The sequence below is a fragment of the Homo sapiens genome, chromosome 10 (genome assembly GCF_000001405.40).
Source record: "Homo sapiens chromosome 10, GRCh38.p14 Primary Assembly".
Taxonomy (NCBI): domain Eukaryota; kingdom Metazoa; phylum Chordata; class Mammalia; order Primates; family Hominidae; genus Homo; species Homo sapiens.
In genome coordinates, this window is record NC_000010.11 from 133,262,037 (window position 1) to 133,284,608 (window position 22,572).

General features: G+C 62.9%; 2 protein-coding genes across 12 annotated transcripts in view, besides 9 other annotated features; both read right to left on the reverse strand.

Annotated features, from left to right (window-relative positions):
• Positions 288 to 1,264: an enhancer, noted in NCBI's record as "H3K27ac-H3K4me1 hESC enhancer chr10:135075828-135076804 (GRCh37/hg19 assembly coordinates)". NCBI's record gives its function as "activates a minimal SCP1, AML or CMV promoter by ChIP-STARR-seq in naive H9 embryonic stem cells {active_cell/tissue: H9 hESC(naive)}" and the evidence as "EXISTENCE:reporter gene assay evidence [ECO:0000049][PMID:30033119]".
• On the reverse strand, positions 387 to 14,832 carry ADAM8 (ADAM metallopeptidase domain 8). Of its 8 annotated transcripts, none has more exons than NM_001109.5 (23): positions 14,736 to 14,832; positions 13,448 to 13,551; positions 12,123 to 12,199; positions 11,915 to 11,993; positions 11,726 to 11,802; positions 11,218 to 11,407; positions 10,921 to 10,983; positions 10,762 to 10,830; positions 10,380 to 10,549; positions 10,157 to 10,238; positions 9,770 to 9,918; positions 9,492 to 9,669; positions 9,164 to 9,253; positions 8,845 to 9,034; positions 8,700 to 8,769; positions 8,324 to 8,474; positions 7,861 to 7,938; positions 7,409 to 7,493; positions 6,712 to 6,826; positions 5,893 to 6,082; positions 5,316 to 5,381; positions 1,652 to 1,729; positions 387 to 1,197 (listed from the first exon to the last, which is right to left on the reverse strand). In NM_001109.5, exons 1-23 carry the CDS (start codon positions 14,779 to 14,781, stop codon positions 1,120 to 1,122), a joined length of 2,475 nt encoding a protein of 824 aa, NP_001100.3. In that variant the 5' UTR covers positions 14,782 to 14,832; the 3' UTR covers positions 387 to 1,119. The 8 variants fall into 8 exon arrangements, 7 of the variants coding, with proteins under 7 accessions (NP_001100.3, XP_047280381.1, NP_001157961.1 ...); XM_047424425.1 differs by lacking the exon at positions 14,736 to 14,832 and adding an exon at positions 13,670 to 13,958; NM_001164489.2 differs by lacking the exon at positions 6,712 to 6,826 and having other exon boundaries at positions 5,893 to 6,030.
• Positions 8,473 to 9,229: an enhancer, noted in NCBI's record as "H3K27ac-H3K4me1 hESC enhancer chr10:135084013-135084769 (GRCh37/hg19 assembly coordinates)". NCBI's record gives its function as "activates a minimal SCP1, AML or CMV promoter by ChIP-STARR-seq in primed H9 embryonic stem cells {active_cell/tissue: H9 hESC(primed)}" and the evidence as "EXISTENCE:reporter gene assay evidence [ECO:0000049][PMID:30033119]".
• Positions 12,325 to 12,974: an enhancer, noted in NCBI's record as "H3K4me1 hESC enhancer chr10:135087865-135088514 (GRCh37/hg19 assembly coordinates)". NCBI's record gives its function as "activates a minimal SCP1, AML or CMV promoter by ChIP-STARR-seq in naive H9 embryonic stem cells {active_cell/tissue: H9 hESC(naive)}" and the evidence as "EXISTENCE:reporter gene assay evidence [ECO:0000049][PMID:30033119]".
• Positions 13,012 to 13,271: an enhancer, noted in NCBI's record as "active region_4240". NCBI's record gives its function as "activates an Ori minimal core promoter by ATAC-STARR-seq in GM12878 lymphoblastoid cells {active_cell/tissue: GM12878}" and the evidence as "EXISTENCE:reporter gene assay evidence [ECO:0000049][PMID:35858748]".
• Positions 14,275 to 14,922: an enhancer, noted in NCBI's record as "H3K27ac-H3K4me1 hESC enhancer chr10:135089815-135090462 (GRCh37/hg19 assembly coordinates)". NCBI's record gives its function as "activates a minimal SCP1, AML or CMV promoter by ChIP-STARR-seq in naive H9 embryonic stem cells {active_cell/tissue: H9 hESC(naive)}" and the evidence as "EXISTENCE:reporter gene assay evidence [ECO:0000049][PMID:30033119]".
• Positions 14,275 to 15,081: a biological region, named in NCBI's record as "H3K27ac-H3K4me1 hESC enhancer GRCh37_chr10:135089815-135090462".
• Positions 14,522 to 15,081: a silencer, noted in NCBI's record as "silent region_2972". NCBI's record gives its function as "represses an Ori minimal core promoter by ATAC-STARR-seq in GM12878 lymphoblastoid cells {active_cell/tissue: GM12878}" and the evidence as "EXISTENCE:reporter gene assay evidence [ECO:0000049][PMID:35858748]".
• Positions 16,237 to 16,286: an enhancer, noted in NCBI's record as "active region_4241". NCBI's record gives its function as "activates an Ori minimal core promoter by ATAC-STARR-seq in GM12878 lymphoblastoid cells {active_cell/tissue: GM12878}" and the evidence as "EXISTENCE:reporter gene assay evidence [ECO:0000049][PMID:35858748]".
• TUBGCP2 (tubulin gamma complex component 2) overlaps positions 16,599 to 22,572 on the reverse strand; it is a 33,703-nt gene continuing 27,729 nt past the window's right edge. For 3 of the 4 annotated variants that reach the window (NM_001256618.2, NM_006659.4, NM_001256617.2), the window contains 5 exons: positions 21,846 to 21,966; positions 21,042 to 21,185; positions 20,187 to 20,306; positions 19,237 to 19,400; positions 16,599 to 17,865 (listed from right to left, as the gene is read on the reverse strand). In NM_001256618.2, the coding sequence (NP_001243547.1) occupies positions 17,730 to 17,865; positions 19,237 to 19,400; positions 20,187 to 20,306; positions 21,042 to 21,185; positions 21,846 to 21,966 (685 nt within the window). In that variant the 3' untranslated portion in view covers positions 16,599 to 17,729. The remainder of the gene's footprint in view (positions 17,866 to 19,236; positions 19,401 to 20,186; positions 20,307 to 21,041; positions 21,186 to 21,845; positions 21,967 to 22,572) is intronic. The other variant, NR_046330.2, reaches the window with a different exon arrangement.
• Positions 16,777 to 16,856: an enhancer, noted in NCBI's record as "active region_4242". NCBI's record gives its function as "activates an Ori minimal core promoter by ATAC-STARR-seq in GM12878 lymphoblastoid cells {active_cell/tissue: GM12878}" and the evidence as "EXISTENCE:reporter gene assay evidence [ECO:0000049][PMID:35858748]".

Here is a 22,572-nt window from a genome sequence, read left to right on the forward strand (position 1 = left end):
ACGAGACGGAATGGGCGGGGCGCGGGCGGGGCCGTTGCCGGGAGACGAGACGGAATGGGCGGGGCGCGGGCGGGGCCGTTGCCGGGAGACGGGGCGGGGGCGGGGCCGGGCCATTGCCCGGAGACGGGGCGGGGCAGGGGTAGCGCGGGCTCCTCCGTGCATCGCGGCGAAGTCTTCTTGGGCGTGGGTTCCTGGATCGGATCGTCTGCCCGCGGGAGGGGCGGGACTGCTTAGTTACGCTGGGGAGGGCCTGAGAAATCCAGGGAGAAAAGAAGGTGGCTTGACCTCATCTATTCGCAGTCTGCATTTTACCAAGCGCCGACCCTTGTATCTCGTGAACTGAAGCCCTCCATCCTTCCCCGCTGATCTAACAAGAATCTACAGAACTCGGTCAATAATTTATTAGTAAAATATACATTTCTCATTATTAAAGAATAAAAGCTTTCAGCCCTGCTGAACACACATCTGAGGTCTCAAGAAAACCAGACAAGATAGCTGACTCTCCCACATAGCCCTTTCCATAAAGGCGATTCCTAAGCTTAAACACACACAAAGCTGGGGCTGTCCCTCTTGAATCCCATGGGAAACAGGCCCCAAGATCAGGGGACCTGGAGTCGGGAGCTTGGGGTGCAGTCTGCTCACTGACACCCTCTCGAAGAGCACGCAGGGGAACCTGGTCCTGGGATGGAGTCTTTCTGGGGATGCCCCACGTCTGTGCTGCCTGGAACCGGGTGCCCAGGGCAGCCGGCTCAGCAGGCCCCAGAGCAGGGGCAGGTGTGGCTGGGAGGGGCTGTATATGTGGCCTCCTGAACACAGCGGGAGACCAGCGGCCACCTGGAGACACGTACACACACACGCACCCGCAAGCACACAGCTCATCCCAGCCTGGTGCCTGCAGACAGCTGGGGCTACACGTGGCCAAGGCGGGGAGAAGGAATTGGCTGAGGGCGTGGACAGCAGGAGCCTCTCAGGTAGATGCATTCCTGAGGTTAGAACAGCAGCTGAGCCTGCAAAGTCAGGGTCTAGGGCTGAGCGGCACTAGCTGGACCGTGGAATGCTGGAACGCATGGCTTCTCTGCCGCAACTTCTCCAAATTTCCACACAGGCGCAGGTGCCCCCCTAGGGTGCTGTGGGAGCTCCGGCTCCTTGCTTCCTCTGGATGGGGGGCTTCAGGGCAACCTTTGGGCCAACAGCACCCTGGGAGGAGGAAAAGATAATTGATGTTGAAAAACTACCTGCTATAAAAGGTATATAAAGGGTACAACGAAATTTTACGTCCTTTAACATCTCTTAAAATGTGGATTCTTGGTTCATCCACCAACAACATGGCCCATGCACACAATGGCAGGTGTGGCAGTCACAATATATACAGCTCACAGAGGACAGACTTTCTTCCCTGCAGTTGCTGGGGGAAGGTCAGGCACCACTGACAGCCGGGGTCGGCATCTGCTGAGAAGTCCCCTGATCACAGCACAGATACCACAGTACAGCCACTGCCAATGCCTTTCCCTTTTCTTTCAGTCACCCAAGTTTATCCACAGATAATCAGAAAAAAACCCCACCCTCCAGGGCAGTGCCACCGTCAGCCCCGTGGGGAGGCCGTGCCGTCCATTGCACAGTGGACTCTGCCTGGTGTGTGCTGGGGCCTCACCTCAGCTGGACCAGGGTTGGCCGCACCAGCCCCGGGTTTGACTGGGGGCACTGGGGGTGCGAACGTTGGCTTGATGACCTGGGAGGAAACAGACACAGCTGACATGGGTCCCCCAGGCACTCCCGGCTCTAGCCTGGACATCACCTTCTCTGGACCTGGAACGAAGCTCCCCACAGACCTCGCTCTGCCCCCCAGGGAGCCTGCAGGCTCCGCCCCCACTGAGCTCGCTACAGAAAAGCCCTCCTGGCTGCCACTGCCCAGGAATAAAGCCCATCAGTGGCAGAACGCCATCCTGGGCCCACCTGCCCAGTACACCATCCACATCCCCTAACCAACCCCCATATTACCCTCCAAGAGCTTTTTTCCTTTCCTTTTTTTTTTTTTTTTTTTTTGAGTCAGGGTCTCCCTCTGTCACCCAGACTGGAGTGCAGTGGCGTGATGTTGGCTCACTGCAGCTTCCTCTTCCTGGGTTCAAGCGATCCTCCCGCCTCAGCCTCCTGAGTAGCTGGGACGACAGGCACAAGCCACCATACCCAGCTAATTTTTTATTTTTTGTAGAGACGGGGTCTCCCTATGTTGCCCAGGCTGGTCTTGAACTCCTGGGCTCAAGTGATCCTCCCGCCCCAGCCTCCCAAAGTGCTGGGATTACAGGCATGAGCCAATGCGCCTGGCCTGAAGAGCTCTACAGATTGCCGGAATGTGGGGTTTTGGAAGCTCAAAGGCCAATAATTAGCTACTAAAACACGTGTTTCTTTGCATTTCAGCTTTCCCAGGGTAGGGAGGCTGGATGTCCACCACACAGAGCTGTGGAGCTCACTCCTGGCTGTGTCACACGGAGCCTGGGTGGGCTAAGCATTTGCAGTTTTCAGCAGCTTCCAAAGGACCCTACTGAGCAGCCAGGGGAAGCCCGTGAGAGTGAAGAGTGAGTGACTTCCCTCCTGCACAGTTCTGCTGCAGCCTCTGCCCCATCTACTGCCACGCCTGTTCCTGCTGCAGCCTCAGCCCCATCTACTGCCACGCCTGTTCCTGCTGCAGCCTCTGCCCCATCTACCTCCACGCCCGGCTCTTGCTGCAGCCTCTGCCGCATCTACCTCCATGCCTGGTTCCTGCTGCAGCCTCTGCCCCACCTACCTCCACGCCCGGCTCCTGCTGCAGCCTCTGCCCCATCTACCTCCACGCCTGTTCCTGCTGCAGCCTCTGCCCCATCTACCTCCATGCCCAGCTCCTGCTGCAGCCTCTGCCCCATCTACCTCCACGCGCAGCTCCTGCTGCAGCCTCTGCCCCATCTACCTCCACGCCTGTTCCTGCTGCAGCCTCTGCCCCATCTACCTCCACGCCCGGCTCCTGCTGCAGCCTCTGCCCCATCTACCTCCACGCCCAGCTCCTGCTGCAGCCTCTGCCCCATCTACCTCCACGCCTGTTCCTGCTGCAGCCTCTGCCCCATCTACCTCCATGCCCAGCTCCTGCTGCAGCCTCTGCCCCATCTACCTCCACGCCCAGCTCCTGCTGCAGCCTCTGCCCCATCTACCTCCACGCCCAGCTCCTGCTGCAGCCTCTGCCCCATCTACCGCCACGCCCGGCTCCTGCTGCAGCCTCTGCCCCATCTACCACCACGCCCGGCTCCTGCTGCAGCCTCTGCCCCATATACTGCTATGCCTGGTAACCATAACTTCCTTGGCCAGAAATCTCTCTGCCCCCTTCAGGCCCCCATTTTGCCTGTCCAGACCCCTTCTAGGACTATTTCTGCAACTCACGTACAAGTCTGAAGTTAGTTCAAATAAAAAGTTAAAAAGGAAAGAGAGAAATAGAAAATCACTATTAGGGCCGGGCATGGTGGCTCACGTCTGTAATCCCAGCACTTTGGGAGGCCAAGGCAGGCAGATTACGAGGTCAAGAGATCAAGACCATCTTGGCTAACACAGTGAAACCCCGTCTCTACTGAAAAAAAAAATACAAAAATTTAGCCAGGCATGGTCGCGGGCACCTGTAGTCTCAGATACATTGGGAGGCTGAGGCAGGAGAATGGCATGAACCTGAGAGGCGGAGATTGCAGTGAGCTGAGATCGCGCCACTGCACTCCAGCCTGGGCGACAGAACGAGACTCCATCTCAAAAAAAAAAAAGAGAGAAAATCACTATTAGGCAAACAGCACAGAACAACTATTGCAGCCAATATTCACCAATGGATGCCAAAACTAGTGGGTCCAAGCTTAAGGTTCAAAGAGTCTCAAGGTATCTCCCTGAGGCATCTGCTCACTATAAAAAGAAGACAGGAGCTTTCTAAGGAAAAATCTGTGGACGCTGCTCCAACTAGGCGCTGTGTCAACATCCCCCGTGACCGAAGCTGCATGTGGGCCAGGCCTGGGCTGTGCCTGGGGAAGGGTGTGTCCAGTGCTGCCCCCGCCAACAGTGCAGGGCCCTCATCCACACAAGGAAAGACGGGACAAACCCAGGCTGAGGGACTCTGAAAACACTGCTGGCCACACTTCCAAAGGGCAAGCTGAGGAAAGGCAGAGGGGCCGGGGGCTGAGTGCCTGGGGGGACCATGGCTGGAGAAGGGCGTCCAGAGGGAGCAGGCGGTACTGACTGGGTCGCATTGGTGACGTGGAGCCTCGGCTGCGCGCCCACACTGTGGCCATTCGGGAGCAGGCCAGGCGAAGGGCATGCAGGATTCTCTAGGCTATTTTTGCAACTTTTCTGTAAGTCTAAAATTTGTTCAAAATTAAATGTTAACAAAAAAAAAGCCTCAACCCAGAGGGCAGGGGCTCTCCTGCCCCAGGTCTTCCATGCACAGCCCAGTCCTAGGGCTGACCACGAACCTCTGTGGAGGGGGTCCCCGGAGATGCACCGTGGGACCTCTTCACACAGGCACCTCCCCAGCCCCAGCCTGCCCGCCACCGTCCTGCCCTCTCTGAGGACAGAGGCTGCTCACAATGTCCCGCAATGCCAAGTGGACCTCGATGGTACCACTGGGGCCCCGTGCCAGGCCCCAGAGAGAAAGCCTGGCCCTTTCTGCTGCCCTAGCTGAGTCAGTGGCCCCAGGAAGGGAGCTCAAGGGTCCTTCTCCACCCACTGCCAGAGCGGTTTCCCAGGGCTGAGGCCAATGAGCTGCCCCCACGGGGTCCAAAAAGGGCTCCAAGGTTAGCCCAGAGGTGGGAGCCAGGGCGCAGGGACAGGACCCCAACCCTGGGGGGACACGGAGGCCTGGGAGTTAACCCTCAGCATGCCAGGGCTCCAGTGATTCGGGTTTTGAGAGATCTTTCCAAAACCCCCAAAGCCCCCAAACCCAAGGGAAGCGCGGAACGTGTCCCTGCCCTGAGCCCACCCACCCATCTGTCCTGCAGGGCCCCAGGGAGTCCTCTTCTCTGCCAGAGCTTCAGCTCTGGGAGGGGCTTGGTGGGCGGAGCAGGTCTGAGTGGAAGGAGAAGGAGCCAGGACCCCCAAACCAGCTCCAACGCAGGGCAGGACTGAGCTCCTGCCTTCCTGTGGCCTCGCTGACCTGCCTTTCTGTCTGATGTCCTCACGAGGTCGGGCTAACCAGCCTTCTGTGTACAGCAGGGGCCACCTGGGGATCCCTGGCCCCCGGTGCAGTGCACAGACCCCAATCCCATCAGGAAGGCCTGGACACCCTCAGAAGGCTTGGCCGCCCAATCACCACTGCTCACCTGCTTTGGTGCCTGCCGGGTGTAGACAGGAACTGGGAAGGGTGGGCTGGACACAGTGACCGGAGGCTGGAGGAGACAGGGCCGAGAGCCTGGGTCAGAGCTGGGACCCCCGTGCCCCTCCAGCACCCCCAGCTCCAGGATCCGAGGTTCCTGCCTCTTGTGTGTGCTGGAGGCGTCTGCGCGGCCCACAGGGCCCCACCCCAGATGAGAGGCCCCGCCCCATTCCTCCCCTCAGCCGTGTGATCCCGAGCTGGGGGCCGGAGAGCATTTGTGTCTCGACACTGTCCTCAGATGGGCTCTGTGGAGGCCAGGAAGCTTCCCTGGGCTGGGAGCCCCCAAGTTTAAGTTCAAGCTCAGATTCTATCATGGCTCAAAGGGGTCTGGGAAGTGCCCACTCCCAAAGCCTCAGTGTTCCCAGCAGGGCGACCACAGCAGCTGCTCTGGGCCTCGGGGCCACCGCTGGCCTGTGCGTGAATTTAATGAAAGGGCTCTGCTGGCCTCGGGCTGCACTTGGGGTCGCAGGATGGGGCCTGGGCACTGCTTTCGGCCTCATGAACCCGCCAGGGGTGGTGCTTACAGCAGGGGGCGGCCTCTTCAGAGCCACCGAGGAGGCCGGGTGTCGGGCGGGCTGGCCCGGGTGGGTGGTGGGGACCAGCTCTTGGGGGCCCCTGGATGGGGCTGGAGCCCCGCCCTTGGCCGGCACGCGGCTGGCAGCCTGGTGGAACAGGGGGTTGGAGCGCCCCATTGTGGTCTTGGGAGCCACGTTCCTGGGGAGGAAGCACAGGGCGCATGGTCAGTGTCCGGCCATGGGGCCCCAGCACCACACCCCGAGTCTCTCCCTCCCAGCTCCAGCCGACCCGAGAGGCTTCAGGGCGAGAGGTTGTGGCCATGAGAGACAGACAGGCCCAGGAGGTGGGGCGGACCCTGAAGAGGCAGGGACACCCCCTCCATGTCCTGGGGGCCCCAGTCAGGTGGGCGGGAGATGCTTGGAGGCTGTGGGGCCAGTGTGTCCTGCTGCGTGGGGGTCTCCTGCTGTGTGGGGGTCCAGGTCCCTAGAGCAGGGCTCAGCAGGAAACTGGCAGGGTGCTCACGGGGCTGGGTCAGGGTATGGGGGACCCCACCGGGCCTCTCTGGATTTGCCCCAAGCCCAACCGGCCACCAAAACCATGCCCCGCCCCAGCCTCAGGGGAAGGTGGAGTCCAGAGTGGCACTGGCCGAGTGGAGCCAGGAAGGCCCTTCAAACTCAGCCCAAGCCGGGGGGCGTCATGACGTCGGGGCACAGAGGAGCCTGGGTGTCCGTGCCGTCCACCATGGGCCCGTGCTGGGCACTCCTTCCTCTGGCAGCTGAGCACGGGAAGCACTCGCCACCCTCCGTCACAGCCCCCACCACCCTCACCTGCTCAGGATGCGGCTCCGGGCTTTGCGGTAGACGATGATGCCTGCCAGGGTGACCAGCACAACTGCCAGGAGCACCAGAACCACCACCACGAAGACGGGGAGGCTCCCGGACGCTGTGGGACACACGGCCCCACATCAGGCAGGCAGGCCGCGACCTCAGGCAGGAGCCAGGGAGGTTCCCAGAGACACGGTCTTTCTCAGCACCCCCAGGCTGTGCCCTGTGGACCCCTCAGGGAGGACCTGGTACCTTACACTGGCACTCCCAGCTTGCCAGTGACAGGTTGGAGAGCTTGGCAGGGTGGCCCTGGGCCACAGTGCTGTGGGCACGGCTGTGCCTTTGAGGCCTGATGCTCTGGACGACCACATGCTCAGTGGCCGCCGGGGAGGAAATGCTGGGTGGCCTCAGGGCCCCGGGCCGAGGAGGGGCTGGAAGACACAGGCTGAGGACACTGGAGTCTCAGCTCACGGCCGTGCCCTGCCCTCGGCCACTGCCTCCCTCTGGGACAGGGCTCTCCCCTCCTCACATCAGCCTGGGGACAGACAGGCTCTGCCTATACCTGTGTGTCGATGCCTGTGGCAGCAAACTGGCACCGTGAACACCACCAGCTTCCCGGGCCCGCGGCTTCTGCCTGGGCTCTGTTCGGGCCCTCTGAGCTTGGACCCCAGCCCCACCTGCGCTGGCCAGGGAGGCCTACCTGCGTGCACCTCAGTCAGCAGCTTCGCGCAGTGGGGCGGGGCCCAGCCCGCGTGGCAGTGGCACTCCTGCTTGTGGTTGCACACCTGCGGGGACGGCTGGGCTCAGGGCCAACCCTGTTGTGGACCCCAAGGGGCCGTGGGGGCCGTGCCTCCAGCATGAGGGCCCCGGGCCAGCCCCACCCCCGAGGGCCCCTCGGTCCCTGCCCACATGCGCCGACGGCGAGGCCTCTCCATGTAGCCCCTGCCCGCTGCCCGGTGACCATGCAGGTTCCATCCACGGAGGCCACCCAGGCCGGGCCTCAGCCGACAGGGGCTCCACAGAGACCCCCATGGACAGGACACGCCAGGCTCCCCCAGCCTCAGGCTCCCGTGTCCAGAGCTGTCCCCAGCACCGGCTCCCTCAGAGCGGCAGCCTCTGTGCAGGGGCCCTGTCCCGAGAGGCCACACATACCCCATGGTTGTGGCACTGGGCAGAGCAGTTGCTGGATCTGTAAACGTGTAAGTCCTGGCAACGTCCTTTCCAGCAAACCTGGGGGTAGGAGGCGTCTCTCAGGCAGCCGCTCTGGACCTCTGCCCCGCCAGCGTCCCTTGAAACTGCATGGTAAGCTGGGGGTGGGCTGTGGTCACCACGTCCAAGGTGGCTGTGCTTCAGCCCATCTGCCGGCTGCCTACCCCCAAAGCCCCTGGGAAGTGGCCCTCCTGGGGCACGTGGCCGCCGGCGACGGCCATCAGATGAACTGAGAACCATGTCTCTCCCCACCCCCGGAAACCTTTCAGTCTCTACTAGAAGCGCGGAGAGAACTCTGTTCCCATGGCCTCGAGCAGCTGCCAAGCTCAGAAACGCATCTGCACCCACGTGGGGCACATGCCCGGGATGCCTGGGGGGTGGCGCGGCCTCTGAGCCAGGGGCTCACCTTCTCTGGTCCACACCGGGTGCCCTCGGGCACTGGTTCATACGCAGTGCCATCCTCTGTGGTGAGCGCGTGGCACACATCCACGATGCAGATGGCACGCCCCAGGGGCTGCTGCCCACCCTTGCACTGCAGAACGCCACACATGTCAGCCCTGTGGATGGACGGCAGGTCGTGGGCCAGCTTGCCTGGGAGCATGCTGGGGAGCCCAGGAGCCACAGTGACCCACCTCCCTCCCACAACACGGTGCGCTTGAGCCTGGGGTCCATGGGTCCAGAGCAGACCCTCATGGGAGCAGGACCCTTTGCAGAGGCCCTTCTGGGGCTGACCCCGCTGTGGGAACAGCACATGTCCTGGGCCCAGGGCGGTCTCAGCTCACCTGTACCGGCTGGCCTTGCAGCCTGGTAGGATGTCATAGGAGAAGCAGGACTCCTCGGCAGCCTGCCCACCTGTGGGACCAGAAGCGGGTTAGCCCTGGCAAGGCCTGCAGCCACCCTGCCAGGCCAGCTCTGTGCCCACTTCACCTGGCCCCCAGAAGGCCTGGCACTGCTGGGCCAGTGTGGGACAGGCCCCGTTGTAGCAGTAGCCCCCGGAGCAGGGCGTGCCGTTCTCCTGGAAGGCGTCTTCCGGGCACTCAGGGTGCCGGCCGTCACAGAACTCCTCGAGGTCACACATGTCCTTCTTGGGACGGCACAGCTCACCAGCCGGCTTCACCTGGCCCAGCAGAGAACAGCTCACCATGGGGACAGGTCCACGCAAGCTGCCTGGTCCCTGGTGCCCCAGGGTCCCTTCCCACCTGCCAGCCATGGGCTCTGGGGGTCACTGGTGGGAGGCTGCACTCACCTTGCACTCCTGGCAGCAGGTACCGTGCGCACACTGGGCCCCCTCAGCCAGCTGGCAGGTGGTAGAGTTGCAGCAGCGGTTCCGGCAGTCCTGGGGCGACGGCAAAGGCCTTGGCAGGCTGCACTGGGGCCGGGCTGGGCTCCAGGGCGGACCTGGCCGCCTCCCCTGACCACTGGGGTGCCCTGCAGCCACTCCCTCCCTGTGACCGCTCTGGACACCCACAGAGCCCCAAGTTCCACGTGTGGATGTGCAGTGGTCACCCTGGCCTGAAGGGACAGAGGTTGTGGCACCCAGTGCTGACGGGAGCAGGTATGGGGCATGGACGCACCTCGGGGGGGCCGCAGTCGCACTGCTCCCCACGCTCCACAAACAGGTTCCCACACACGGGGCCGCCCACCAGGTGGCTGAGGTCAGGGGCGTTGGCGAGGCACACCGACTGCGGCCGCTCCAAAAAGCTCTCCAGGTAGGCCTGGCTGCAGTCACTGAACATCCTGGGGAAACTGGAGCTGGGGAGGCGGGGCAGCATTGGGGGAGGCGGCCTGGCCCCTTCCCCACCCACCTCGTACCTCCAGCATACCCTGGCTCTGCAGGGCCTGGCCGCCTCACCCAATGCTGCCCGCCATGATGCAGCGGCCGGCCTCGAAGCGTTCCTGGCAGCGGCAGCCCTGGACGTTCTCATCATGGTCCATGCCCAGGTTGTGGCCCATCTCATGGGCCATGGTACAGGCCACGCCCACGGGGTTCTTGCTGTGGTCCTGCAGGAGGGTCTGTGCTCTCAGGAACCATGTGGCCAACTCCCCACGCCTGCCACCCTCACCCCACCAGGGCCCAGGACTTGGCACAGCTTCCCGCCAACACCACCTTAAAACATAAAATCAGGCATTAAACCTGGCCTGAGGGGAGGTGGCCTGCTCCAGAGACCTGGACCGAGGCGTCCCCTCCCCTATCCAGCTCTGGCCTCGGCCTGGCAAACCCGGGCAGGAGCCCCCTCACCTGGTTCACAGCCCCTGAGCTGTGGGAGCACATGGCGGACACCCTGGCAAACCCCACGGTAGTCCCGGTGAAGTCGACACCCCTGGAAGTGGGAGTGACACAGATGCCCTGGACACGGCTCCCTCCCCACTTCCCTCCCACCCCAGCCCTGCTCTCCCTTCCACCCCACCCTGCCCGCCCTCCCTCCCCAGCCCTCCCCACCCTGCCCGCTCCGCCAGCTCACGTGATGAGCTGTACGTTGTCATGCAGGTGCCGCCGTGTCCGTTGCCGTGCCTGCCAGGTCAGGAGGTTCTCCAGTGTGACACTGGGGTCGGGGCTGACGTGGAACCTGTCCTGACTATTCCAAATCTCCAGGCCCACCAGGACCACACGGAAGTTGAGTTTCTGATATAGCTGGAGAGGTGGTGGAGTCCTGGGGGTCAGGCAGGGTGGCGGAAGGTACAGCAGGGAGGGTGGGTGGCGGAGGATGCACCTGTCCCACGGCGAGGTGGGGCCAGGCACAGGTGCGGGGCAGAGCTGGAGCAGGTGGAATGAACCCTGTGGCAACACCCCCCCCACCTCCCGCCAGGGGCTCTGGCACCTCTGCAGCCAGGACCGCTGCCCACCTTGTCCACGTGATTCACCACCTCCAGCACCCGATGACGCACGGCTGCTTCGCTCCCCAGCATCTGGAACTGGGGACACGAGACCCTCAGGCTGGAGCCCACACACCCCCCATGCCCCCGCCGCCGGCTGCTCTCCCACCTTCCCTGCCCCCAACACACCTCTGCATTGTCCACGACCACATACAGCTCCACGTAGCGGGTCTCTCGGGATGGCAGAGAGTCCTGGGGAACAGCCACAAGAAGCCAGTCAGCCTTCCCAGCGCCGGGGCCTGGACCCTCCCTCAGGGACCCGGGGCCACTGTCCAGCCCCTGTCCAGTGCTGGGGGAGCGTGGCCAGGCCTGCTCCAGGCTGCAGACAATGGGCAGCACCCAGCACATGGGGAGCCAGGAGGACTCACAGGCCAGGCAAGTGGACACCGGCAGGGCCAGCCAAACACAGGAGACAAGGGTGCTCACCCCGGGCCGAGGCCTGAAGACGGCTGCCGTCCGGGGTCCCAGGAGGCTGCCCAGGCTGTCGTCGCTGACCCCGCAGGTCCCGGCCGTCTGCAGCAGGTGCTCAGCCTGGTACACGGCGTGCCGTCCGCCCTCGCCACCTTCATCCAGGGGCTCGATCAGGTGCAGGTCTGACCCCACCTGGAAGAAACCCCTGAGGGGAGTGGGAGCCGGGTGTGCTGTGGGCTTCAGAGTGGCCTGGTCCTGCCCCGAAGGACCAGAGGCTCCAGTTTGTTGCCTACAGCTCCCCCTACCCTGCCACCAGCAGCCCCCCGCAGGTGACTTCAGGCCCCAGGGTACAGGAGGGTGAGCCTCTTGGGCTTGGCGTCCCCTGAGCAGACCCCCATGCAAGACAGCAAAGGCCTGAGTGGGAGGAGGAGGCACCCTCCCTGCCTCCCTTCCCCACCCCCACCACAGGCTTAGGCCTTCCTCTCCACCTGCGGGAGCCCTGGCGTTCGTCCGCCACACCCACCTGAGGCCGGCACAGGTGCTGAGGCTGGCGGCTGAGTCCGGGTACCCCTCTACGTGGCCCTGGTAGAAGCAGTGGTCCTGCGGGGGAAGCAGGAGAGGGGTCCACAGGCTGTGCCCCCATGGCCCCACAGGCTCGGGGAGGGCCGCCCAGCCCCTACCTGCCCGCCCAGCTGCTCCGCCCGACCCATACCTGCCCGCGAGGCTGCTCCGTCACCTCGGAGCCATTGGCAGCCGTATAGGTCTCTGTGTAGCCGGAGCCCAGCAGGTCCCTGGAAAAGAAGTGCTGTGACTGCCTCGGCCCCCTCGGTGCAGAGAGGCTGGCCCAGAGGCTGGACGCCGGGGACACCAGTGTGCTGGAGCCAGGCCCGGGCAGGGGGGCCGACCCGAGACCCACTCACCTGTTCTTCCGCAGGTGGAGGGTGAAGTTGTGCCCTGTGGCCCCAAGGACGTAGCTCACCCTCTCTGGGTGCAGGCCCTGAGCGAGGAGGGAAGGGTCCCAGGTGAGCAGCCTGCCCGGGCTGTGCCCACCTCAATCCTGGGGGCCAGAGAAGCTCAGCTGGGGGGGAAGGGGTGCCGGCCTCCAGCCCCAGGTCAAGGCTCCATCCTGGAGGGTCCACAGCCTCAGGCAGGGTAGAGGGTGGAGGGTGGAGGGTAGGGGGCAGGGGGTGGGGGGTGGAAGGTGGAGGGTGGAGAGTGGAGGGTGGAGGGTGGAGGCGGGGGGCGGAGGGCAGAGGGTGGGGGGCGGGGGGTGGAGGGTGGAGGGTAGGGAACGGGGCTGTGCTGAAGGCGACCGGCGGAGCCCAGCACTTGGGTAGACAGGAAGGACACGGTGCTCCTCGGTCCTCCCAGGCCTCAGTTTCCCCATCTGACCACGCATGGGTAACGACAATGCCCCTTCCCCGAGAAAGCATAGGGTGGGGGAGGCATAGCCTCAGCCAGGCAGCAAAGGAGGTGGGTGGCGGGGATAGCACGCACAGGCCCCTCCAGCGACAGCTGCCTGCCTCCAGGACCCATCCCTTCCAGCAGCTGCCGGACCTGGTGGTGCCTGCAGAGCCTCCTGCTGGACCACTGCATCTCCAGCCCCCATGTGCAGGCTGGGGCTCGGCCTGCAGAGCTCTGGGACAGCCTTAGCTGTGCCACCGGCTGGATGAGCCCAGGGCAGCGGGCAGGTCGGTAGTAGGTTCCCCGGATGCTGAGGTAAGGACAGGGCTGGGGCCGGAACTGCCCTCCCTGGAAACAGGTGCACACATGCATATGCCGTGCACATGTGTGCACACCCACCCACTCAGGCTTCAGGAATCACCCTCGGGCAGCCCCAGTCGGGGAGGGGGGCATTCTCAGTTTCTAGCCCTGGGAAACCCCCGCCAGGCCCCCCCCCCAACACAGGAAGGTGTGTCAACTCTGCGGTGAGCCAGCGTCACTTCTCAAAGAGGAATTTGGCTTATCAGCCTCGCCAAGTGAAACTGGGGAGGGGCCCGGGGCCAGCACAACCTGCCCCTGCTCCCTTCCAGGGGTCCATAGAGCTCCTGAAGGAACGAGGAGGCTGGGAGCCCTCAGGCAGTGCTGGAGGGAGGAACGGAGATGGGCCCCAGGGGGCTAGAGCTGTACAGGGCAGCCCCAGACACCCACTGGCCTCTCACCACTTTCTGTAAGCTAAAGCTCCTTTCACAAAAATAGGCTCAGGGGCCAGCCAGGGACCCTCCCCAGGCCAGCTTAGACTCACCAAGTGGGAGGGCAGAGCTCGGCGGACTCGGGGGCCTGGCAGACGCCACGGCAACACGACCTCATACTGCTCCATGAGGGCCCAGGGCCGGCTGGGGGCAATCGCTGCAGGAGGGAGGGTCAGCAGGCATGAGGGGCCGGGGGGCAGGTTTCCTTCCCAGAGGCCTCCTGGGCCCTCAGATTCTGTCTCTTGCTGGGCTTGACCCTCCCCTGGGGAACTCACCAGATAGCTCTGGGACAAAGACTCAAGTGAGGGTTCTGTGCCTAAAAGACCCCAGGAGCGCCCCCAGGCATGGCCGGTGGGCCTGTGTCCTGCAGCACCCACACACAGTGCTCAGAGACGCTGTGGGTGCCAGCGGGTGCCAGTGACTCCACAGGTCTCCAGGCTGTCTCAGATCTCTGGAGGGGCCCGAGGGCAAGGATGAACCTTCCCCCCAGGGAGGAGGACTCGGGCCGCCGACCTGCCCGTTTCCATTCTCCTCCTCCATTCTTCTGATCATCTGATCGCATCTAACTGGGGAGCAGGAAGTGCCTCCCGGAGGCTGTTCACCTCCCAAGAACTGGAAACTCCCTGGTATCCGAGAGCAGAGGGCAGGGTCCCAGCATGCAATGGGCAGGGTTTCGGAGACCACCAACCCCAGGACCCTTTGCTCCCATTAAAACACAATAGTGGACGTGTCTCCATGACCACATCTCCAACCTGGAGAGGCAGCAGGGGAGCAGCCAGCCCCTATCTGCCCAGGAAACTGGCGGGAAGCAACCCGGCCTCCAGCCTGAAGCTCCTCAGCACACCCCAGCCCAAGTCACTCCAGGAGCAGGGGTGGGATCCAGGGTCAGCAGCCCCATGTCCTCCCCCAGGCAGGAGACGGGTCCCCTCAGCCCACACCCCTGCACTCCAGGCCTCAGCTTGTCTGCCCTCCCTTCCCTCCTCGGCTAAATAGTGGGGGTGGGTAGCCCCACAGGTGAATCCCAGGAACCCAGGGCGCCTCGCGCAGCAGGTGAAGCGTCCTGCTTGGCCCGGCCCCGACCCCACTAACAAGCTCAGAGGCGGGACTTCCCTCTCACAGTTCACCTTTGAAGGTTCCCTCCGACCTCCCCGGCCTCCCCGGCCCGGGGCTCTCCACCCAGAGACCACTGTGCACCTGATGGCCCGCTCCCAGGGACCAGCCCGAAGCCGGGCCAGGGTGCGGGGTGCGAGCAGGCCAGGGGCTCGGGGTCCGCGTCGCGTCCTGCGGGGAGAGCCACCCTGCCCCGCGCTGCGCCCGGGACGGTTCCCTGGAACCACTCACCAGGCAGCATCATCGCGCCCAGCAGCCAGAGCCCGAGGCCGCGCATGGCCGGGTCGGGGAGCAGAGGCGGAGGTGACAGCCCCGCGGGACACGGTCTGGTTCCTGCGCTCCTGGCCCGAGGCTCTTTTCCGCGCGCCCCGCCCCGGCGCCCCGCAGCCAATGGGCCCCTCGGCCGGTGGGAGGGGCGGGGCGCGCGGCACCTGGGGGCGGGGTCCGTTTCCCCTCTCCCCACAATCCAGCATCCTCCCTTGCACAGGTGAGGAAACTCAGGCACAGCCTGTCCCAAGTCCGGCCAGAGCCCCGAGAGGGGGCCTCTCGAAGGACCCGGCGGCTGGAAGGAGGTGGCGCCAGGCAGGTCCTGGAGGGGAAGGGACTTGTGAGGGCCGCCTGGCGGTTTCAGGAGAGGGGGTCTCTGATTTCCTGGGGAACAGAAAGCCTCAGGCAGGGGCAAGTCATGGCTTTGTGGGCATAGGTTCAGCCCTGTGGGAAGCTCTGCCACCCTCCCCCCCAAGCCTGCGCCCCCTCCACCAGGCTGAGGCCTCACCGGAGTGGGATAGGCATGGGCCCGCAGGCGTCCAAGTGGGGAGGGGGAGCCCTAGGTGGGGGTCCCAGCCCAGGTGATGGCAGGTGCAGGGGCCGTCCCTAGCCTAAGATCCCCAGACAGCAGCTGACGCTGGCCGACGTGGACCAAAGCCTGCAGCAGCCCACCGTGGCCTGGCTCCGGCGTCTCCAGGCCTGCGGCCAAGCGTGCTTGCCCTTGGTGACCACATTCCCCGTGGTGGGCTCAGCCTCGAGGGTGCAGGTTTGGGCTGACACCACAGCTCCCCAGACGGTCCACCCAGGACCCCTCCCTGGGGCTTTCACAGCCAGGCCGCCCTCCTGGAGTGGGAACAGTGGTGGTGGCAGGAAAGGCAGCTCAGATGACCACACAGGGCGCTGCTGACAGATCACATGGGGGGGGGGGGCCTCAGGGCCTCCCTGGGGAGAGGCAGGGCAGGGCCAGCAAGGGGCTGGAGGGAGTCCTGCCTGGAGAGAGGGCACCAGGGCAGGGCGAGTCAGGGAACTGCACGGGCCTAGGGGCAGAGGACAGAGGTCAAGGGGCAGTGGCAAGAAGAGGCCGGGGCCTCGGACGTTATCCTGGGAGGACAGGGAACCCGGAGGATCTAAGCTGGCGTGAGTGATGCTGTCACATTTTGTCTCAAAGCCATTCTTACCCTAATGTGAATGGCATGAAAAGCAAGAAAGCAAGGGCTGGCACTGGGCCGCAGGTGACTTCTGCTGCCTGGGGGTGTGTCCGCTTGCCTGTGTGGCACAGGACGAGGTCCCCCAGGCTGCCGAGAGGCTCCCAGGTAGGGCTGGGGATACTGGCCTGTGCCTGAGCTCATGCAGGTGACCCTGTTATTATAGAACAATGGCCAGCTGGCAATCACACTTCCCTTCCTTGACCTCATGGTGCAAGTTACTCAACAGCAAAGTGCAAAGGCGGCACGCTGGCCACATCAGAGGCACAGCAAGGCCCCTGCCGACGCTGAGCTACCAGGGATTTATTCCTAAAAAGACAGGACCAGCTTGGGCCAGAACAGGCTCCTCCCGCGCTGAGGAAGTTCCACCCAATCCCACAGAACACAGCTCTCCTCTTCAGCAGGTGCCGGGGGGTCTGGGAGCCTGAACCCCACAGCCCTGGAGGCTTCCCTCCCCTCCTCCTATCACCACCTGCAAACCCCACTTCTCAAGGCCCAGGGCTTCCCAGACCCCAGGACACAAGATCAGGGGTTTCTGGGCCTCGGGGCCAGGCAGGAAAGCTAGCAGGCTCCTCTGCTCACCAGTCCGGCATTTGCACAACACTGAGACTGACAGCTTGGGTTGCTGATAAATGTGTTTACTCACAGGCCAGACCTGCACAGCCTGCAGACAAGGAGGAAGCGGTTTGTGGCTGGAGAGTTGGACACCCCCACCCCCACTCGGCGGTGCTCTCAGTGAGGCAGCCCCGGGTGAGAGCTGCCCACAACCCTTGTTCCCCGCAGGATCCTGTTCTAGCTATCCTTTCTCCCAACCTCGCCTCCAGGGCCCTTCCTCACTGCCCAAGGGGGCCGAGGTGCTGAGAGCTGAAGGTGACAACAATACACATGCAGGTCAGCAGGAAGGGGCAGCTTGGCCAGAATGTAACCAGAGCAGACCAACCTGGCCGGGCAGCCCTGAGGCTCCCAGGGCCCTGTCACACTGGGGATGGCGGTGCTGCCCACTGTAGCCCTGGAGGTGGGAAGACAGGGCAGATGATCGCCCGAGGGGGATTGGGTGTCAGTCTGCTGAGTAAGTTCTACGTAACAAGGCGGTACCGGATAGGGCGGGGTGGGGTTTCCAGCCAGCAGCAGAGCCTGCCCCTCGACCCACTCCCACGGAGGGGGAGGTGTGGGCTCCCAGGGTGCCTGAGGGCCCTGTCTGTGGCCTCCTGCCCTGGACCAGTTGGAGCAGCAGCAGGAGGAGGGTCGTGGAGGCGGGTGAGTCCTCAGGAGAAGGAACGGGGCTGCCTCTGGGGCCAAAGCAAACCCGACACCCGATGCCCGGTGGGTTTCCACAACTCCCTGACCGTTTCCAGAGGCTTGTCCCGGTTCCGACAGACCTCAGGAAGCCCGGCCCCAGCTCACCCGGAAAGATGTGGACACCAGGCCTGGATCTTACCCCACATGCATCTTTGCTTGCTCCTGGCTTAAACACCATGTATTTCCACTTTGAGGCCAAAAACACCCAAAAAGGTGATAGTGTAATTTCAAAAAGCAAACAGATTAGCAAATCCAGGGAGACATCCACCCTGCCTGGGCAGCTTCTATAAAACGAAACCCAGCGCCTTGAGAAACAAAGTGAGCTGAGTCAATCATTCCTGCTTTATATTTAAACTGCAAAGACAGAACACAGAGCATTCGATTTGAAAATTCTGGACCCATTTGCACCAGTCCCTGCTGACCCCACACCCTTCCTTCCTGTCACAGCCAGGGCTCACTGTGCGGTGACTGCGACCCTGGGTGCAGGAGCCGGGGGCCCCCGCAGGACAGGCACTTGGGGGGTGGCCTTCTGGCTCCTCTCTGCAGACAGGCGCTCCAGGCGCTCCGTGTAGAAACCATTGAAGTCAAGCCTGTGAGGAAGGACAGTGGAGCTGGGGTGCACACCCCTTCTGCGGGTGCATGCTGGGCAGCAGGGGTGTGGAAGGACGGTGCAGCTAGGGTGCACACCCCTTCTGCGGGTGCGTGCTGGGCAGCAGGGGTGAGGAAGGACAGTGGAGCTGGGGCACACACTCCTTCTGCGGGTCCGTCCTGAGCAGCCCTGCTCCTACCATGGGGAAGTGTTCAGCTACAGAGACCATAAGAGGCCCTGCAGGGGTGAGGGTGAGGCACGCTCCTAACTAATGTTTCCACAGGAAGGTTTTCAGTCCTGTTCAGTCCTGCTCAAAGGCACAAACACAGGTTTCTTCTCTCCTGGCCCCAGAAAGTTGGGGCTCCCATCACCCCAACAGGGCCTAGCAATGGGGCCTGAGGTGTCAGGGGCTTGGAGAACCAAGCAGTGGTTCTCAATGCAGGGTGGCCTCAGAAATCCCTGCTCAGAAAATCAGAACATTTGTGGGGGGCACAGGGCACAGGGTGGTCCAAAAGCACAAATAGGCACCTTCCCAAGGACAGCACCCCCAAGGGCACCACCCCTTCCAGGCTGGCAGTTTGGCCACCTGGCCCTTTCCCCCAGGCTAGGTGTTAGTGCAGCATGAGGGAAGCTGACCCAGGCCTGATCAGCCCCACAGGACACACACAGCCGCAGGGTGCCAATGGGGCAGCCCAGTTGCACAGAATGTCACACCCCAGGGAGAGCTGGGCTAGCCTGACTTCAGGGAGTGGCATATGACCAGCACTAGCACCAGGACACAGACCTGCCCCACCTTCTGAAGGAGGCTACACCAGGTGGACCAGGGGAGGGTGCAGGGGAGATGGGGCCTGGATGCAGGGACAGGTGCTGAGCTGGGGTGGCGCTGGGCTGGGGCAGATGCTGGGCTGAGCTGAGGAAGGGCTGAGCCGGGGCAGGCGCTGGGCTGAGCTGGGGGAAGGCTGAGCCGGGGCAGCACTGGGCCAGGGCGGTGCTGGGCAGGGGCAGGCGCTGGGCTGAGCTGGGGGAAGGCTGAGCCGGGACAGCACTGGGCCAGGGCGGTGTTGGGCAGGGGCAGGTGCTGGACTGAGCTGAGGAAGGGCTGAGCCAGGGCGGTGCTGGGCAGGGGCAGGTGCTGGGCTGAGCTGGGGGAAGGCTGAGCCGGGGCAGCACTGGGCCAGGGCAGTGCTGGGCAGGGGCAGGTGCTGGGCTGAGCTGGGGGACGGCTGAGCAGGGACAGCACTGGGCCAGGGCGGTGTTGGGCAGGGGCAGGTGCTGGACTGAGCTGAGGAAGGGCTGAGCCAGGGCGGTGCTGGGCAGGGGCAGGCGCTGGACTGAGCTGAGGAAGGGCTGAGCCGGGGTGGCGCCCACCCACCTGGAGATGACGCTGGCCATGCCGTGCTCACAGTCACTGGTGCTATAGATGCTCAGCCGGGCCAGGAGGTCCAGCAGGTGGGCTGAGAAGTTCTTGTCAAACTTGTTGATGGTGGCCTCGAAGCCGGACACCAGCTGCACAGTGTCTGCGTGCTCAGCCAGGTGCTGGAAAGAAAGCCGGGGTGCGTGAGCCATGCCCACCCCCACCGTGGGCCTTCTTGGCTCCACACTGTTCCCAGCAGGCCGGTGTCCTTTCCCTTCCCCTTTTCTTAAATAGAAAACATGGGTTCCATGATGTTTTCAGGAGATTCAAGGTAAAAAAGACATCAAAAAACATTCCTGAGAACCCAGCACTCAGAGAAACACTCCAGGCCTCGTGGGATGAGGTGGTCACTCTCCTTTGGGGTGAGATGAACGAGCTTTCCCAGCAGCTTTCTCAGCAAGGAGGTCGGGGCGCCTCTCAGTGTCCCTCACCTCCGGCCCCCACGCTTCCAAACCCAACTCCTCTCTGCCAGCTCCAGCTCCAGCGTGTGAACACGGGACTGCCCACCCCACCATGCCACCCCGGAGCCGGCGCCGCAGGGCCATGCCTCCGAGGACATGCAGCCTGTCCGTGCCTGCTGAGAGCCTGACGGTTCTAACTCAGGACCGAGCTCAGCAGGGACAGCGGGTGTGGCCCCTGCCCTCGCCCAGGCGCCCTGCACAGCGCTCGCTCTGAAGATCTGTGGGGGTTCCCTCGAGCCCGACTGGCTGAAGTGGGGACCAGAGAGCTGAGAAGATTGTGAGAGGCTCTTGTGCTTGTGCTTGGAAGCTAATTTTAAGTCTTTTCTTCAATCTGAGGGGAGATGGAAGTAAAAGGGGGGAGGTTTGTTCTCCCTGCGTCAGGATGCCCAGGCTGCCGCCCAGCCGGGAGGAAGCGTCTCTCTCTGGCCAAACCTGGAGGCCACGCACCTTCCTGGCGAGCTCCTTCCGGGCCCGCTCCTCGGCCCCTGCGGGCAGCCCCAGGACGGTGCTGTGCTCCAGCGTCTGCCCGCCCAGCTCGCCATCTAATTTCATGCTCTGTGTAAATTTCTAGGGGGGGAGAGTCGCAAGGAAATGCTTCTGTTAGTTACAACCACAATGCTTTGCAGAAAAAACAAGTCCTGCAGGCACGTCACCCTCCGCACCTCTGTTGTAGCCTGCGGCTGGGGGTACACAAGCATCTCTGAGGCTGCAGGGGAAATGACTTATCTGTGCCGACAGAATTCCCAGGTCTACCTTCCACGGTGACCAGCTGATTTTCCTGAGAACAGTTATTTTGGTGTTTCCCTATTTGGGACCCTGAAGTGGCCATGCCCTCCTCCACCTCCCCACTCGCCCTCCTCCGGACCCTCCCCATGGCACTGCCTGGAGAGCCTCATTCTCAGACCCCTGCTTCTGCCACTAGACACGCAGGTTCTGCACCATCGCCAGTCGGCAGCTGCTTGTGACTAGTGCCTGCAGGTCCTTAACGGAATCAAATAGCTCAAGTGCTGAGGAAAAGAGCATGCAAGGGCCATAAGCAAAGGCCCCGGACAGAGACCAGCACCACAGAGGCTGAGGGATGGTTCGGGAGGAACACAGCCCTGCCCACGCTGCCAGGGCAGGGGCTCCAGGAGGGAATCACCCGGCCAGGAAGACCAGGAGTTCTGGAAACACTCAGATCCCAGCGGCTCCTCCACGAACACAAGGGCAGGAAAACGTGAGCAGGCTGCGTGCGGCCACGGTCGGGACATGGTCTGCCCACCCGCGCCTGCCCACCCGATGGTGCTACCCACACCCACGCACCTGCATGCAGTTGGTGAACATGACGCACACAGACATGAGCTTGGAGAAGACCTTCAGCAGCTCGGGGTTGGTGAGCATGCAGTCCTTCAGGCAGGTGTCCAGGAAGCCTGTGTGGTGGCCAAGGACGTCGTCAATGTTGGAGGCCTGCGGGGAACAGGCCAAGCCCCTTCTCAGAAAGACGTGGCTGACAGACGGGCCCTGCATGCGCACGTGCTCAGTTCTGGCTTTGTGCATTCCTGTTTACGCACTTCTACCTCTTAAATGGGCCTTGGGCTTTTAGGGGAAAACTTCCAAACACCACTAAAAAAATGATGGGCACACCCCGAAGGGGTTTCATTTCTTAAGGCAGAAGACAGGAAGGGAGGCTGCGGCAGCTTCTGGAATTTGGTACCAACAGATTCTGCCTTCAGGCCCCTCAGCCTCAGATGCGCAATGTGGGAGAGACAACCTCGGGGCAAAGACGGCTCAGAGTCCCCCTAGGACGGCAGGCAGCAAGGGGTCCCGTGTGTGGCCAGCAGTGTGGGTGCAGCCCCGCCCTGGGGGATCCCTTCCTCTCCCCTTGCCCTGCCTCTCCTGCACTCCGTGTCTCCCTGCACTCCCTGCCTCTCCCGCATTCCCTGCCTCTCCCGCACGCCCTGCCTCTCCCGCACTCCCTGCCTCTCCTGCACTCCCTGCGTCTCCCTGCATTCCCTGCCTCTCCTGCACTCCCTGCCTCTCCCCTCGCCCTGCCTCTCCTGCACTTCCTGTCTCCCTGTGAAAGGAAAGTGGCTTTCAAACGTTATTATCTGTGGAGCTAAAACTCACGGATTTCAGGTTTTTCTCCAGGATGTGCCAGGTCGGTTCCATCACTTCAAACATCATGTAGTATTGAATATTCTGGACGAAGTTGAGCATTCGCTGCCGCAGAGTGAAAGCCCCAGCAAACCTGAGTGACACGGAGGACGGAGGACAGCCATGGAGGACGCGGCCCCGACAGCGCCCACCAAGTGACACGGAGGACGGAGGACAGCCATGGAGGACGTTCTCTGGACGTGGCTATTTCCTCTGCAGAGCAAGCGCCCCTCCCAGCACACCAGACACTCACGGCCGCTGCTCCTGCGTCTGCCCAGCACAAGCTGTCACCGTCTACCAACCTGTGCCCTGCAGGGACACCCCCAGCCAGCTGGACGGTGGAGACTGGGACGCGGGCTCCTTGGTGGACGGACCCCTCGGAGCCCACGCCAGGAAAGTGCCACACAACAGATGCATATTTGTGCTTCATCATCAAGATGAGTTCTTTTTCTTCTAATTTCTTTTTTTCTTCGAGAGACAGGGTCTTGCTGTCGCTCAGACTGCAGTGCAGTGGCACGATCTTGGCTCACTGCAGCCTTGACCTCCTGGACTCAAGCAACCCTCCCACCTCAGCCTCCTGAGTTGCTGGAACTACAGGCATTCCCGGCTAATTAAAATAATTTTCTTTTTTTTTAAGAGATGAGCTCTTGTTACATTGTCCAGGCGGGTCTCGAACTTGTGGGCTCAAACAATCCTCCCT